The 14,205-nt window shown below is 38.4% G+C and overlaps 1 protein-coding gene across 5 annotated transcripts in view; it reads left to right on the top strand.

The window, feature by feature from the left end:
* POTEF (POTE ankyrin domain family member F) overlaps positions 1-13,687 on the top strand; it is a 55,688-nt gene extending 42,001 nt beyond the window's left edge. For all 5 annotated transcript variants that reach the window (NM_001099771.2, XM_047445721.1, XM_017004833.2 and 2 more), the window contains 4 exons: positions 835-879; positions 1,227-1,408; positions 10,021-10,141; positions 11,650-13,687. In NM_001099771.2, coding sequence (NP_001093241.1) covers positions 835-879; positions 1,227-1,408; positions 10,021-10,141; positions 11,650-12,978 — 1,677 coding nt within the window. In that variant the 3' untranslated portion in view covers positions 12,979-13,687. The remainder of the gene's footprint in view (positions 1-834; positions 880-1,226; positions 1,409-10,020; positions 10,142-11,649) is intronic.
* Positions 13,688-14,205: the final 518 nt, after the last annotated feature.

Genomic DNA, 14,205 nt, shown 5'->3' with positions numbered 1-14,205 from the left:
AGGACATATCCTGCCTTGTGGTCTCTCGTTGACCTCAGTGTTTCTGTTCAGGGAGGGAACCAGGTCATAAAAGCAACCCAACTGCCTATTACAAGAACCATATCTTGCAGAATGGGACCTTTGGTGTTAGTGCACAAACACAATAACATTCTAATTTATTTCAGTTGCAGAAAATCAGTAGAGATTAAAAAATTTTATCTGCTGTCATTAGTACACATTAGAATATATTAGAACTGGACTTACGCAGATAATCTGGATACATAACACTATCATATGACAGTATATAATTTCAATTAAAATGTGAGAATTTGCATTTCTTTCTGTTTGGTGTTGATTTCGGCTCCTAATAGTTTAAAGGGTGCCTACAATCCAGTTAGGAATCTTTTAAAAAAGCACTTCAGTGCACTGTAGGTGCTCACTAGTTAGGGTTTCATGAGGTAAACTCTTTTCAAGTGAGGAAGATTTTGGAACACTACAAATCATCTGCTGATTCATTTTTGGTAGATTTAACACATAACAAATTAAATTTAGTCCAAACAAATAGTGAGAAAGTTAAGTTTGCTGGTTCATGTTTTTCTTCTCCCTTTGTCTAAGGTGAATTATTTTTCACATGTTAGAAGCCAGTGATGTGGCAGTAGCTAAACATAGATTAAAAAGTTAATTCTTAATTTTAATTATTATTTATTTTAACAGTTTAATTTTAATTACTTTCTAATTTTTATTGTCCATACTTGATTACTTCAGAATAAAATTATTTTAAAAACATGCACTCCAAAAGAGGAAATGTCACAGAAATACAACAAGCAAATTAACCTTCTGTTTTTACATCTGCAGAAAAGATCTCAAGAACCAGAAATAAATAAGGATGGTGATAGAGAGGTATACCTTTATATTCAAACGTTTGTGTTGAATTAGATTTTTACATTATGTTGTTTAACAAAGTGTAGTAAATGTAGGCATACATGATCCTATCATGTAAGTAGCATAAATCATCAGTGAAAAATTAAATAGTTAACTCAGAATTCTGTACATTGAATTTTGAAGAGGTGCAAACCCTAGAGCTATTCTTTCATTATTATGGAATAATCCCGAATGGTGCCATAAAATGCTAGGTAATGCCACTTTAGGAGCTTTAGACCAATTATTTTATCTTTCTTGGTTTTAGTCTGATTATCAATAGATAATGTGCCTAAAGTAGATAATTTCTTATTCTCTGTATTTTCCAGCTAGAAAATTTTATGGCTATCGAAGAAATGAAGAAGCACAGAAGTACTCATGTCGGATTCCCAGAAAACCTGACTAATGGTGCCACTGCTGGCAATGGTGATGATGGATTAATTCCTCCAAGGAAGAGCAGAACACCTGAAAGCCAGCAATTTCCTGACACTGAGAATGAAGAGTATCACAGGTAAGCCTATGGCAACATTGAACAGGAGGTAACTTTGTGCTGCCAAACTAATCCTAATTTGAGCTAATATTCATGATGAACAAATTTTATACTTTTATTAGGATATTGAGCCTTGCCTGTTAATCAGAAAAATGAAAATCAGCAAACAATCAGTTACCGTTTTTTTTCCAGTCATTAATTTATTTGAAAAATAACCAGTATTGGCAAATGTGAGGGAAAAGACATTTTCTTCTCTTTTCAGTGAACTTTTATTTTAGCTTCGGGGTACGTGTGCAGGTTTATTATATAGGTAAACTGTATCATGGAGGCTTGGGGTACAGATTATTTCACCAGCCACATAGTAAACAAAATACTCGAAAGGTAGTTTTTTGGTCGTCTCCCTCCTGCCATGCTCCTCCCTCAAGTAGGCCCCAGTGTATGTTATTCTCCTCTTTGTGTCCATGAGTTCTCATGTTTAGTTCCCACTAATGAGTAAGAATATGTGGCATTTGATTTTCTGTTCCTGCATGAGTTTTCTTAGGATAATGGCCTCCAGCTCCATCCGTGTTGCTGCAGGGGAAATGGTTTCATTGAAAAAGACATTTCATATACTGTTGGTAAATACATTTTGAACATTAATTGAGTAGCATATTCACACACACATATATAACAGTAAGCATATATAATACATGTAAAGGATATTTGTATAGATATGTTATATGTATACTTATGTATAAGGACATTTATTATAGTATTATGTAAAAAATTTGGAGCTAGTCTAATTCCTTATCAATAGGAAATAGCTCAATTTCCATATCCCCAAAATAATGTATTATGCAACCATTTTTAAAAAATGAGGTTAGATGTAGGGTATACTGATTATTTCACAATTAAAATGTATTTAAAGCGTTTAGTTTGATGACACATCTTAAGAGTTCTTGTTAAATTTCTTGTAATATCTGCTGTGTTGCAAATGGAAGCTACATGCTACATTGACACTGTACCTTGTTAGCAACAAGATTGCTAGTTACTAAATTTTTGTTGTCAGTGCCTGAGTGCTGAAATATTGGACCCTCAATCTGAATATTGCCAAGCGATTGTACATGGGGATCTATATTTAATATAAACATTTCAGTATATTTGGTAAAACTTTTATTAAAATACATCAAAGAATCTTTGATCTACTAAACCAGGAGTTGGCCAGCTTTTTCTGCAAAGAGCTAGTTAGTAAATATTTTAGGCTTTGTGGACTACATATATTGATTTTCTTGAGACAGGGTCTCACTCTGTTTCCCAGGCTGGAGTGCAGTTGTGTGATCATGGCTGACTGCAGCCTCGACTTTCTGGGCTCTAGTGATCCTCTGACCTCAGTCTCTACTAGCTGAGACCACGGGTGTGCAACATCACACCCAGCTAACTGACACTATGGACTGTAAAGTGAATAAGCATGGCTGTGTTCCAAGATACTTGACTTACAAAAACGGGCAGTGGGCTGGATTTGGCCCACAGGTGCTTATTTGCTGACCCTTGTGCTAAAAGGAAGGTGCTGCTAATGCAGTGACTTTTATTTGTAAAAGTGCCCTGCATGTGTGACATTATCCTCCCTTTGAGAAAAGGATATATTTCAGTATTTACCTCACCATATTTTTCCAGTGACTTCATATGATTTTGAAAACTACATTTATAAAATAAGATTATTTTCTGCATTTCTCCCACTTTATTCCTGTTAATAGAACTCAGTATTTTACTGTGATCAATTACTTCGTATATTTGATGAGTGTCAACTGTCCTAGAATTGGCTGATTTTTATCAAGCAAGAAATATTCTCCTTGAGAGTTTTAGTATTTCTTGGTCTTTATGTATAAGCGTGAACAAAATGATAATCAGCTTATGTAATCTAGAAATGTTCAAAGGGCCTTTAAAACCTTGGTCTGACATTTCTAAATGCCATATGTGTATAATTTTTATAACCTTTAGAATATATAATGGTTACATAAAATTTGAAAACTCCACCTGGTATGTAAAATTTGGAAGCTACTATTTCTTGTCTATCACTTTTCCATGACTGTGGATGAAAATTACATCATTCTCAGTCATGAGCGTTAAGTATATTGTCCTTAAAGAACTGTCTACACTCATGAACTCAAATTTTCTTTCCATTCACTCTTGATCTCAATGCCGGTAAGTCTTCAATTTCAGCACTCCTCCAGAACTATTTTTCCTCAAGATTATCACTAATTTTTTTCTGTACTAAATCTAGGCATTTTTCTTACACCTCATTTAATCTGTCAGCAATATTTGAGCCAATGGAGGGCATCTCCTCCCTAATGGCGTCTTCACTTGGCTTTCAGGACCTCACTCCCTCAGGCTTTTCCTCCTGCCTTTCTAGTCCGTTTATCATGGTCTGTTTTGCTTGCTGCTCCTCATCTTTCTCCTTTTGGACATTGTTGTTTCTCATGGCTCAGTCCTCAATCTTCTTTCTCATAATTTTTTTTTTTTTAAGACAGAGTCTCACTTTGTCCCCCAGGCTGGAGTTCAGTGGCATGATCTTGGCTCATTGCAACCTCTGCCTCATGAGTTCCAGCACTTCTCCTGCCTCAGCCTCCTGAGTAGCTGGGATTACAGGTGTGCAACACCACGCCTGGCTAATTTTTGTATTTTTAGTAGAGACAGGTTTCCCCATGTTGGCCAGGCTGGTCTCAAACTCCTGACATCAGGTGATCTGCCCGCCTTGGCCTCATGACATGTTGGGATTACAGGCGTGAGCCACCGTGCCTGGCCCCTCGTGACTTTTTCTACTGTGTATATGCTAGTGATTTCCAAATGTATGTCTCCAACTTAGATCTCTTTCCTTAATTCCAGATCTCTATATCATCCCACCTACTTGACATCTCTATTTGATTAGCTGTTGGGTATCACACACTTGTCAGATCCAAAATTGGGCTACTGATGTCCTTCCTGAAATCTACACCTCATGTAGTCTTTCCTACTTTGGTTAACAGCAACTCTTCCAGTTGCTCTGCCAAAAACCTCAGTGTCTGATCTTTCTCTCTCAGTCAAGATCTTCTTGACTGATCTTTCTCTCTGTCCTGACACTTCACATCTAATCTCTCAGTAAATCTTGTCAGGTCTATCTGAAGAATATATCCAGAGGCCAGTCTATCTTGTACATCTGAGCCACCGTCATCTGCAGTTTAGATGAGTGTCATAGACGGGAATTGATAGTCCTGGTTTTTAAAAACTTCCCCTTTCATCAATTCTTATCTCAGTGGATGTATTTAAAACATAAGTCAAATGTTGTCATTCCTCTGCCCCTGCCCTTCTGATTGCCTCCTATTTCACTCTGAGTATGTGGCAGAGTTCCTCCTAATAACTGAAAGGCAGTAAACCATCTGGCATGTTACCTCTCCTGCTGAAACTTCTGTTTCTTATCTCTATTGCTGTGTTTCAGCCACACTGAACTTGTTGCTATTCCTGACCTATCCCTAGTGCTTAAAGACTCCAGGCACACCTCTGCACTTAGCAGTTCCCTGTGTCTGGAATGCTTTTTCCCCAGATATTCTTCTAGCTTACTGTTTCCATTACTTCAGCTCTTTACTTAAAATCCCCTTTCTAAGAAGAAGAAAAAGGGTAAAAAGAAACCCATTAAGGAATAACCACTTCCTGAGGAAGAACCATGTACCAGCACGATTCCTAATCCAGAGAAAATGAAGAAAATGAAAAAAAAGAGAGATAATGAGGACTAACAGAAAGGAATTAGGATTGTATCATCAGGACGCGTCAGGCTTGAGATTCAATTGGGAACATACCAGGGATGCTCTCTTAACGTAATTGAGGGAAGGTTCAATGAAACAAAGTGATTTATCATCTTTAACTTCAAACCTGTTTGTGTCTTGACATCAACTCTGTTAACATCATCATTTTTTAGAGTCTTTGATGTACAAATAAAAGTTTCTTTGTATTAAAGAAAAATCCTCTTTCTCAGCAGGGATTTTTCTGGCCATCCCAACTTTCCCACCACCCTTCCCATCAAACACATAAAGATTTCATTTTCCTGCTTTAGTTTTTCTCCTCTAACGTACTGTGTATTTTGCCGTATCTGTCTGTTGTTATTGTGTGTTTATCTCACTCTCATGAATAGGGTTTTTATTGTTCATTACCATATCCTCACTTCCTAGAAAGAGGCCTAGCCTATCAGACGTAGCTACCTAATAAATAGGTATTAAATGAATGAATGGAGTTTATCCCGGGTATATTGTTTGATTGATTCTCACTTAAAAAATGTTTGACAAGGTTCATTTTAACAATTTTGCCTGGTAATTATATGTATTTTAAAAATTCTTTCGGCTTTTTATAATAAGCTACATTCTTTATATTAATATTTTTTCACTTAGGGAGAAAAGCCCAATATTGTGGTTATTCACTATTCTTTTACTGGTAATCATGATAATTGCAATTATGGTAAAATGAGTTAGAGAAATTACAAACTTTACTGGTATTTTATTTATTTAGAGACAGAGTCTCGCTCTGTCACCCAGGCTGCAGTGCAGTGGTGTGACCTCGGCTCACTGCAACCTCTGCCTCCTGGGTTCAAGCGATTCTCCTACCTCAGCCCCCTGAGGAGCTGGGATTACAGGTGCGTGCCATGACACCCGGCTAATTTTTGTATTTTTAGTAGAGACGGGGTTTCATCCTGTTTGTCAGGCTGGTCTTGAACTCCTGACCTCAGGCAGTCCACCCACCTGGGTGGATTACAGGTGTAAGCCACCACATCCGGCCACTAGTATTTTAGTTTTTTTAGGGTGGTAAATGTAATGGACTCACAAATTCTTTCCAAGGGATTATGGACCTTCGGTATTTGAAATAAAAAGACAGTTGGAATTTTTTGCTTCCGATAGTAAGACTATACTGGTCAGGCACTGTCTATTCTGATGGAGCAGCTGTTGCTGCTTGGCTGTCTTTCAGAAGCAAGCTGCTCACACTGATATTGGTTGGTGAGCACAGCCAGTGGTCGGTCATTGATCGATTGACTAGATTTTGAACTGGCTCTGGCTGGCTTCTTGTTACCATGGCTACAGGTCAATTCTTTCCTAAGTTTGAGTCAACTTTAACCAGAAATTTTCTGTTCAAAAGTTGCCTTCCATTAACTATGTTCAAAAAGAAACTTTTTAATATTCCAGAATTGTGGATTTAAAGTTTTGGTTATGATGACTTGGTTAATAATAGCTCTCACGAAGATTTTTTTTTTTTGATACATCATCTTAACCAGAAGTGTTCTCTGTATAATTTATTTCTTAAAAATAAGTGTTTTGTTTTTGTTTTTGGTATTTTTAGAAGCTTTTGCTCAAGTCCTAACATAATCTCCAGTAGGAGATTTTAGTCTCTTTGTCAGTTCATGTATGTATGTGATAGTCATATTCTGTGTTTTTAAATTCCTTTTCTTGTTCACTTTTTTCTCTGTACAATAATAGTGATATTGTTATACATTTTTATCTCATTAAAAAGTTAACAATTTTCTGCTGGCAAATCTAGCTTTTTCTATATTTTGACTGAATAGGTTAAAAGTGAAGAAAATTTACGAGATCATTTTATTTTCAAACAAAATCATAAGTAATAAAAATTGCTATTTTGAATTATAAATAATGACATTTAGATATTTTAAAAATAAGGATAACCCCCCCCCCCCCCCGCAATAGTTTGGCTTTGTGTTTCTATGCAAATCTCATGTCAAATTGTAATTCCCAGGTGTTGAGGAAAGACCAGCTGGGAGGTGATTGGCTCATGGGGTCGGTTTCCTCCATGCTGTTCTTGTGATAGTGAGTGAGTCCTCACAAGAGCTGATGGTTTCATAAGGGGCTCTTTGCGCTTCACTTCTCTCTTCTCTCTCTCCTGCCGCCTTATGAAGAAGGTGCCTGCTTCCCCTTCCCCTTCTACCATGGTTGTTAAGTTTCCTGAGGCCTCCCCAGCCATGCGTAACTGTGAATCAATTAATCCTCTTTCCTTTATGAATTACCTAGTCTCAGGTATGTATGTGTGTGAATTACCCAGTCTCAGCTATGTACATATGTATATGTGTGAGTGTATATACACACATACATATATATGATACATGTATGTGATGTGAGATATATATATATGTATATACGTCCATTTTCTTTATTCCACGCATCAGTTGATGGACACTGGTTGATTCCATATCTTTGCATATTGTGAATTGTGCTGCAGTAAACATATGTATGCGGGTGTCCTTTTGAGAGTATGATTTCTTTTATTTTATGTAGATATCTGGAAATGAGAATGCTGGATAAAATGGTAGGATCTACTTTTAGTTCTTTGAGAAATCTCCATACTGTTTTCCATAGATTTGTATGAAGTTGCATTCCCACCAGCAGTGTATCACTGTTGTCTTTTCACCGCATCCACACCAACATCTGTTGTTTTTTGATTTCTAATAGTGGCCATTCTGGCTGCAGTGAGGTGATATCTCACTGTGGTTTTATTGTACATTTCCCTGATGATTAGAGATATTTAGCGTGTTTTTATATGCTTGTTTACCGTTTGTACATCTTCTTTTGAGAAATGTCTATTCATGTAATTTGGCCACTTTCCAATGGAATTATTTGCGTTTTTCCTGTTGATTTGTTTGAGTTTCTTGTAGGTTATAGATATTAGTCCTTTGTTAGCATCATAATTTTCAAAATTTTCCCATTGTATAAGTTGTTGTTTTACTCTGATGATTATTTCTTTTGCTGTGCTGAAGCTTTTTAGTTTAATTAGGTCTTATTTATTTATTTTCATTTTTGTTGGATTTGCTTTTAGGGTCTTCCTCATAAATCCTTTGCCTAGGCCAATGTTTTCAGGTCTTAGGTTTAGGCCTTTCATCCATCTTGAATTAATTTTTGTATATGGTGAGAGATAGAGATCCAGTTTCATTCTTCCACATGTGGCTATCTTTTTTTCCCAGCACCATTTATTGAATAACCTGTACTTTCTCCAGTGTATGTTTTTGTATCCTTGCTCAGAGATCACTTGGTTGTAGTGGCTTTATTTCTGAGTTGTCTGTTCTGTTCCATTGATCTATGTATCTGTTTTTATACGAGTACCACGCTGCTTCTGTTACTGTGGTCTTAGAGTATCATTTGAAGTCAGGTAATGTGATGCCAACATATTTGTTCCTTTTGCTTGGTATGTCTGTTGCTGTTCAGGCTCTTTTGTGGTTCTACATGAATGTCAGCATTTTAAAATAATTCTGTGAAGAATGACATTGGTACTTTGGTAGGTATTGTATAGAATGTGTAGACTGCTTTGGGCACTATGGTCATTTTCACTATATCAGTTCTTTCAGTCCATGAACATAGGATGTATTTTCATTTGTTTGTGTCATCTGTTATTTTCTTTGGTGGTGTTTTCCAGTTATCTTTATATAGATCACTCACTTTTTTCATTAAGTATATTCCTAGGTACTTCACACCTTTTTGCAGCCACTGTAAAAGGGATTGGATTGTTGATATGAACTCTCAGCTTGGTTGTAGTTGATGTATAGTGGTGCTACTGATTGGTATTCATTTATTTTGTAACCTCTGAGACTTTACTGAATTCATGTATCAAATCTAGGAGTGTTTTGTAGGAGTCTTTAGGGTTTTCTAGGTATGGGATAATATCATTGGTGAAGAGATAGTTTGACTTCCTCTTTTCCAATTTGGATGCCCTTTATTTCTCTTGCCCAATTGCTCTGCCTAGGACTTCCCAGTTTTATTCTTAATATGCATGAAATAAAAGTAAAATGGAAAGTGCTTAACGATGAGTTTATTTCACATCTCTCTCTCATACACAGATAAAATTATTTCAAAGTCCTATGTTAAAAACATAATATTAGACCCTGTCTTGTTCTAAAAGGAATTTCTAAGTTGTTTATAAAATACATAGGAATCAAGAATATAAGTAGAAAGTGTTTCCAAACAATAAACATAAAGAGTATGGGTTACAGGACACAGACCATTAGCAGTCCCTGGCCTGTTAGGACCTGGGCCACACAGCAGGAGGTTCGAGGCAGGTGAGCAAGTGAAGCTCCATCTGTTTACAGCCACTCTCTGTCGCTCGCATTACCGCCCAAGCTCCTCCTCCTGTCAGATCAGCGGTGGCATTAGATTGTCCTGAGTGTGACCTGAACCCTGTTGTAAGTTGCTCATGCAGGGGGATATAGGTTGTTCACTCCTTATGAGAATCGAATGCCTTTCTGATCTGTCACCATCTTCCGTCACCCCCAAATGGGACCATCTAGTTGCAGGAAAACAAGCTCAGGGCTCCCACTGATTCTACATTTTGGTGAGATATAATTATTTCATTATATATTAATAATAATAGAAATAAAGTGCACAATGAATGTAATATACTTGAATCATCCTGGAACCATCCCCCACCTCAGGTTCCTGGAAAAATTATCTTCCACAAAAGCAGTCCCTGGTGCCAGCATGGTTGGGGACACCTGGTTAACAGATGTGAGACCCCTTTGCCTTGTCTTGGAATAATGTGCAGATATGCATTGTGTGAATGACATCTGATGGCGCCATCTTGCCCTGTACATCATTTTAGGGACAGCTCCAGTATTTCATGAAAATTAAAATTTCTTCTAGTGACGAACAAAATGATACTCAGAAGCAATTTTGTGAAGAACAGAACACTGGAATATTACACGATGAGATTCTGATTCATGAAGAAAAGCAGATAGAAGTGGTTGAAAAAATGAATTCTGAGGTATTTTCTTTAGTTATTTTCAAATGTTTTTATATGTGTGTATATTTTAAAGAACTGTATTTTGGAAATATAAAGGATTTTTAAGTCATATATATGTGTGTATATATTCTATATATCCTTTGTCATATATCTATATACGTACGTATAGGATAAAGCCATGTTCTTAATTCACCTTCATTTGCCTGCAACAGTTGAGTAGTGACCTGCACAATGGCCTCAATCCAAAGGAGAAGTATTTGATATTTTTCATAAGAATTGATGATCTTTCCACATCAGAAATAAGTTTTGCTACTGAAAACAGATTTTCTCGTTTTTGGACATTAGTTTTTTAAAAAATGTTAATAGAGAAGTCAATTGATTATTTTTACTGATAAGAAAGTAGGAAATGTATAGCTGGGTCAGAGGCCACATTGTGGATACCATTATCCTTACTTTTGCAGAGAGGAACAGTTTGCTCCAAGTAGTTTCTCATTTCAATGTAAAGAGGTTTGAAAAGAATGACATGCCATGATACACATTTAGTAATAATTTATTGATAAGTATTTTCTTTCTGGAGAAATAGTTCAGTATATTTCCCCTATTTCACCATTACTACTGTTTCAAACATTATAAAGAGGAAATAAAAGTTACCGCAATGGCAAATAATCTCATGATTTCTAAGAAAATCTCTATAAGTTGTATCTTATTTACCATTCATATTTTGAAACAAAAGGTTTCTTTTGTATTTATATATTTACACCACAGAAGTAAGTGTGGTTTTGTGGAGGATCACTAGAAGTAGCATCAGCAGACCTGGGGAAAATCCTGCATCTGTGTATATTTTTTGACCTCTCCTTTTAAGAATCGCGATCTTAAATGAGTTCAGTATTATATGTAGAAGAGCAATGCCTAGATACAGATGTGTACAGTGTAGAAGGGTACAGTGCTTATTTGACAGTTATAAATAAATGTAATTCTTATAACTGAGTATAGAAATATTAGAAATGTAGAATATCGGTAAAACGTTCTTAAGTAAAAGAAACTTAAAGAACTTTGAGAAATTGCTTCTGTCCAAATATATGCATAGCTAAGGCTCTTAGGATGGTGTGGTTGATAGGTTAGATATCAGAGTGTAAACCTAATCTTAAAAATGTAGTCAAATTATTAATCTTATATTTTATGCCTCTGGGTTTTTTGTAACTCAGAAAAAAGGCTTTTTTTAATTCTGGGATTCTTAAAAATCCTCTAGTGATTTATTTTTCATCGTCTTTAAATAAATATTTAAACTTTTAGGAATTTAGGAGCAGATTCCTAAAAGTTTAAATATTTATTTAAAGACGATGAAAAATAAATCACTGGAGGAATTTACACTCTTATTAGGTTTGAAGTTTTGTCCAATTTTTTTCCAGTTAAATATCCACTATGGGGATTCTTTCATTATACAAATACATGTTATTTTTGAATTTCAGAAGAAATCATGATATGTCAATCTATTGAGTGCTAACTAAAAGTTCTCTTTGTTTACTTAGCTTTCTCTTAGTTGTAAGAAAGAAAAAGACATCTTGCATGAAAATAGTACGTTGCGGGAAGAAATTGCCATGCTAAGACTGGAGCTAGACACAATGAAACATCAGAGCCAGCTAAGAGAAAAGAAATATTTGGAGGATATTGAAAGTGTGAAAAAAAGGAATGATAATCTTTTAAAGGCTCTACAATTGAATGAGCTCACCATGGATGATGATACCGCTGTGCTCGTCATTGACAACGGCTCTGGCATGTGCAAGGCCGGCTTTGCGGGCGACGATGCCCCCCGGGCTGTCTTCCCTTCCATCGTGGGGCGCCCCAGGCAGCAGGGCATGATGGGGGGCATGCATCAGAAAGAGTCCTATGTGGGCAAGGAGGCCCAGAGCAAAAGAGGCATCCTGACCCTGAAGTACCCCATGGAACACGGCATCATCACCAACTGGGATGACATGGAGAAGATCTGGCACCACACCTTCTACAACGAGCTGCGTGTGGCTCCCGAGGAGCACCCCGTCCTGCTGACCGAGGCCACCCTGAACCCTAAGGCCAACCGCGAGAAGATGACCCAGATCATGTTTGAGACCTTCAACACCCCAGCCATGTACGTGGCCATCCAGGCTGTGCTGTCCCTGTACACCTCTGGCCGTACTACTGGCATCGTGATGGACTCTGGTGACGGGGTCACCCACACTGTGCCCATCTATGAGGGGAATGCCCTCCCCCATGCCACCCTGCGCCTAGACCTGGCTGGGCGGGAACTGCCTGACTACCTCATGAAGATCCTCACCGAGCATGGCTATAGGTTCACCACCATGGCCGAGCGGGAAATCGTGCGTGACATCAAAGAGAAGCTGTGCTATGTTGCCCTGGACTTCGAGCAGGAGATGGCCACGGTGGCCTCCAGCTCCTCCCTAGAGAAGAGCTACGAGCTGCCCGATGGCCAGGTCATCACCATCGGCAACGAGCGGTTCCGCTGCCCCGAGGCGCTCTTCCAGCCTTGCTTCCTGGGCATGGAATCCTGTGGCATCCATGAAACTACCTTCAACTCCATCATGAAGTCTGATGTGGACATCCGCAAAGACCTGTACACCAACACAGTGCTGTCTGGCGGCACCACCATGTACCCTGGCATGGCCCACAGAATGCAGAAGGAGATCGCTGCCCTGGCGCCTAGCATGATGAAGATCAGGATCATTGCTCCTCCCAAGCGCAAGTACTCCGTGTGGGTCGGTGGCTCCATCCTGGCCTCGCTGTCCACCTTCCAGCAGATGTGGATCAGCAAGCAGGAGTATGATGAGTCAGGCCCCTCCATTGTCCACCGCAAATGCTTGTAGGTGGACTCTGACTTAGTTGCGTTACACCCTTTCTTGACAAAACCAAACTTCTCAGAAAACAACATGAGATTGGCATGGCTTTATTTGTTTTCTTGTTTCATTTTTTGTTTTGTTTTTTATTGGCTTGACTCAGGATTTAAAAACCGGAATGGTGAAGGTGACAGCAGTCGGTTGGAGGAAGCTTCCTCCAAAGTTCTACAATGTGGCCAAGGACTTTGATTGTACCTTGTTCTTCTTTTCAATAGTCATTCCAAATATTGTGAGACGCATTGTTTCAGGAAGCCCCTTGCCCTGCTAAAAGCCACCCCACTTCTCTCTAAGGAGAATGGCCCAGTCCTCTCCCTAGTTCACACAGGGGAGGTGATAGCATTGCTTTTGTGCAAATTACATAATGCAAAATTTTTTGAATCTTCGCCTTAATACTTTTTAATTTTGTTTTATTTTGAATGATCAGCCTTCGTGGCCCCCCTCTTTTGTACCCCAACTTGGGGTGTATGAAGGCTTTTGGTCTCCCTGAGAGTGGCTGGAGGCAGCCAGGGCTTACCTGTACTCTGACTTGAGGAGAGTTGGATAAAAGTGCACACCTTAAAACAAATTGAGGAAGCACAGTATTTCAGTACAGTGGACAGCTTAGCATGTTGACAACTGAGAATAAAATGCTCAGTTCTGAACTGGACAATGTAAGACACAACGAGGAAACACTGGAAATGGAAATTCAATTACGTCATTGTAGACTGGCTGCTGCTCTACATGATTGTGACCAAAGTCAGATAGCTGAAAGAGACTTCTTTCCAGAGAACAAGACATGAACAGGTTTATTTACAGAAGACAATGAATTCTCATTTATCTCACCTAAAAGAGAACAGATTCTTTCTCAACAAGTCTAATGAAGACAGTAAAATCAACAGGCTAAAAATTAAGCTCCACGAAACAAGATAAAACTCTGAGAGAAAAGACGGGGCAGGCCGCCATCTTTCCCGTTCAGGCAACGTAGTCATTCCAGCCTGCGGGCTTTGGAGAGTACAAACCGACGAGGGACAGAAGAGATCCCACAGCACAGCATAGCTGCTTTACCAAATCATGGCCAGACTGCTTCTGTAAGCAGGCCCCTGATCCTGTTCCACCTCACTGGACAGGACCTCCCAACTGGGGCCTCCAGCTACCCCCACCAGCATTCCTTGGCCAATGGAAATGTGAAATGTTCCTGGGACAGAGCTCCCGGAGAGG

Source organism: Homo sapiens, chromosome 2 (assembly GCF_000001405.40).
Source record: "Homo sapiens chromosome 2, GRCh38.p14 Primary Assembly".
Taxonomy (NCBI): domain Eukaryota; kingdom Metazoa; phylum Chordata; class Mammalia; order Primates; family Hominidae; genus Homo; species Homo sapiens.
Note: the sequence above shows the minus strand (reverse complement) of the source record. Positions and strands in the feature narration are given on the sequence as shown.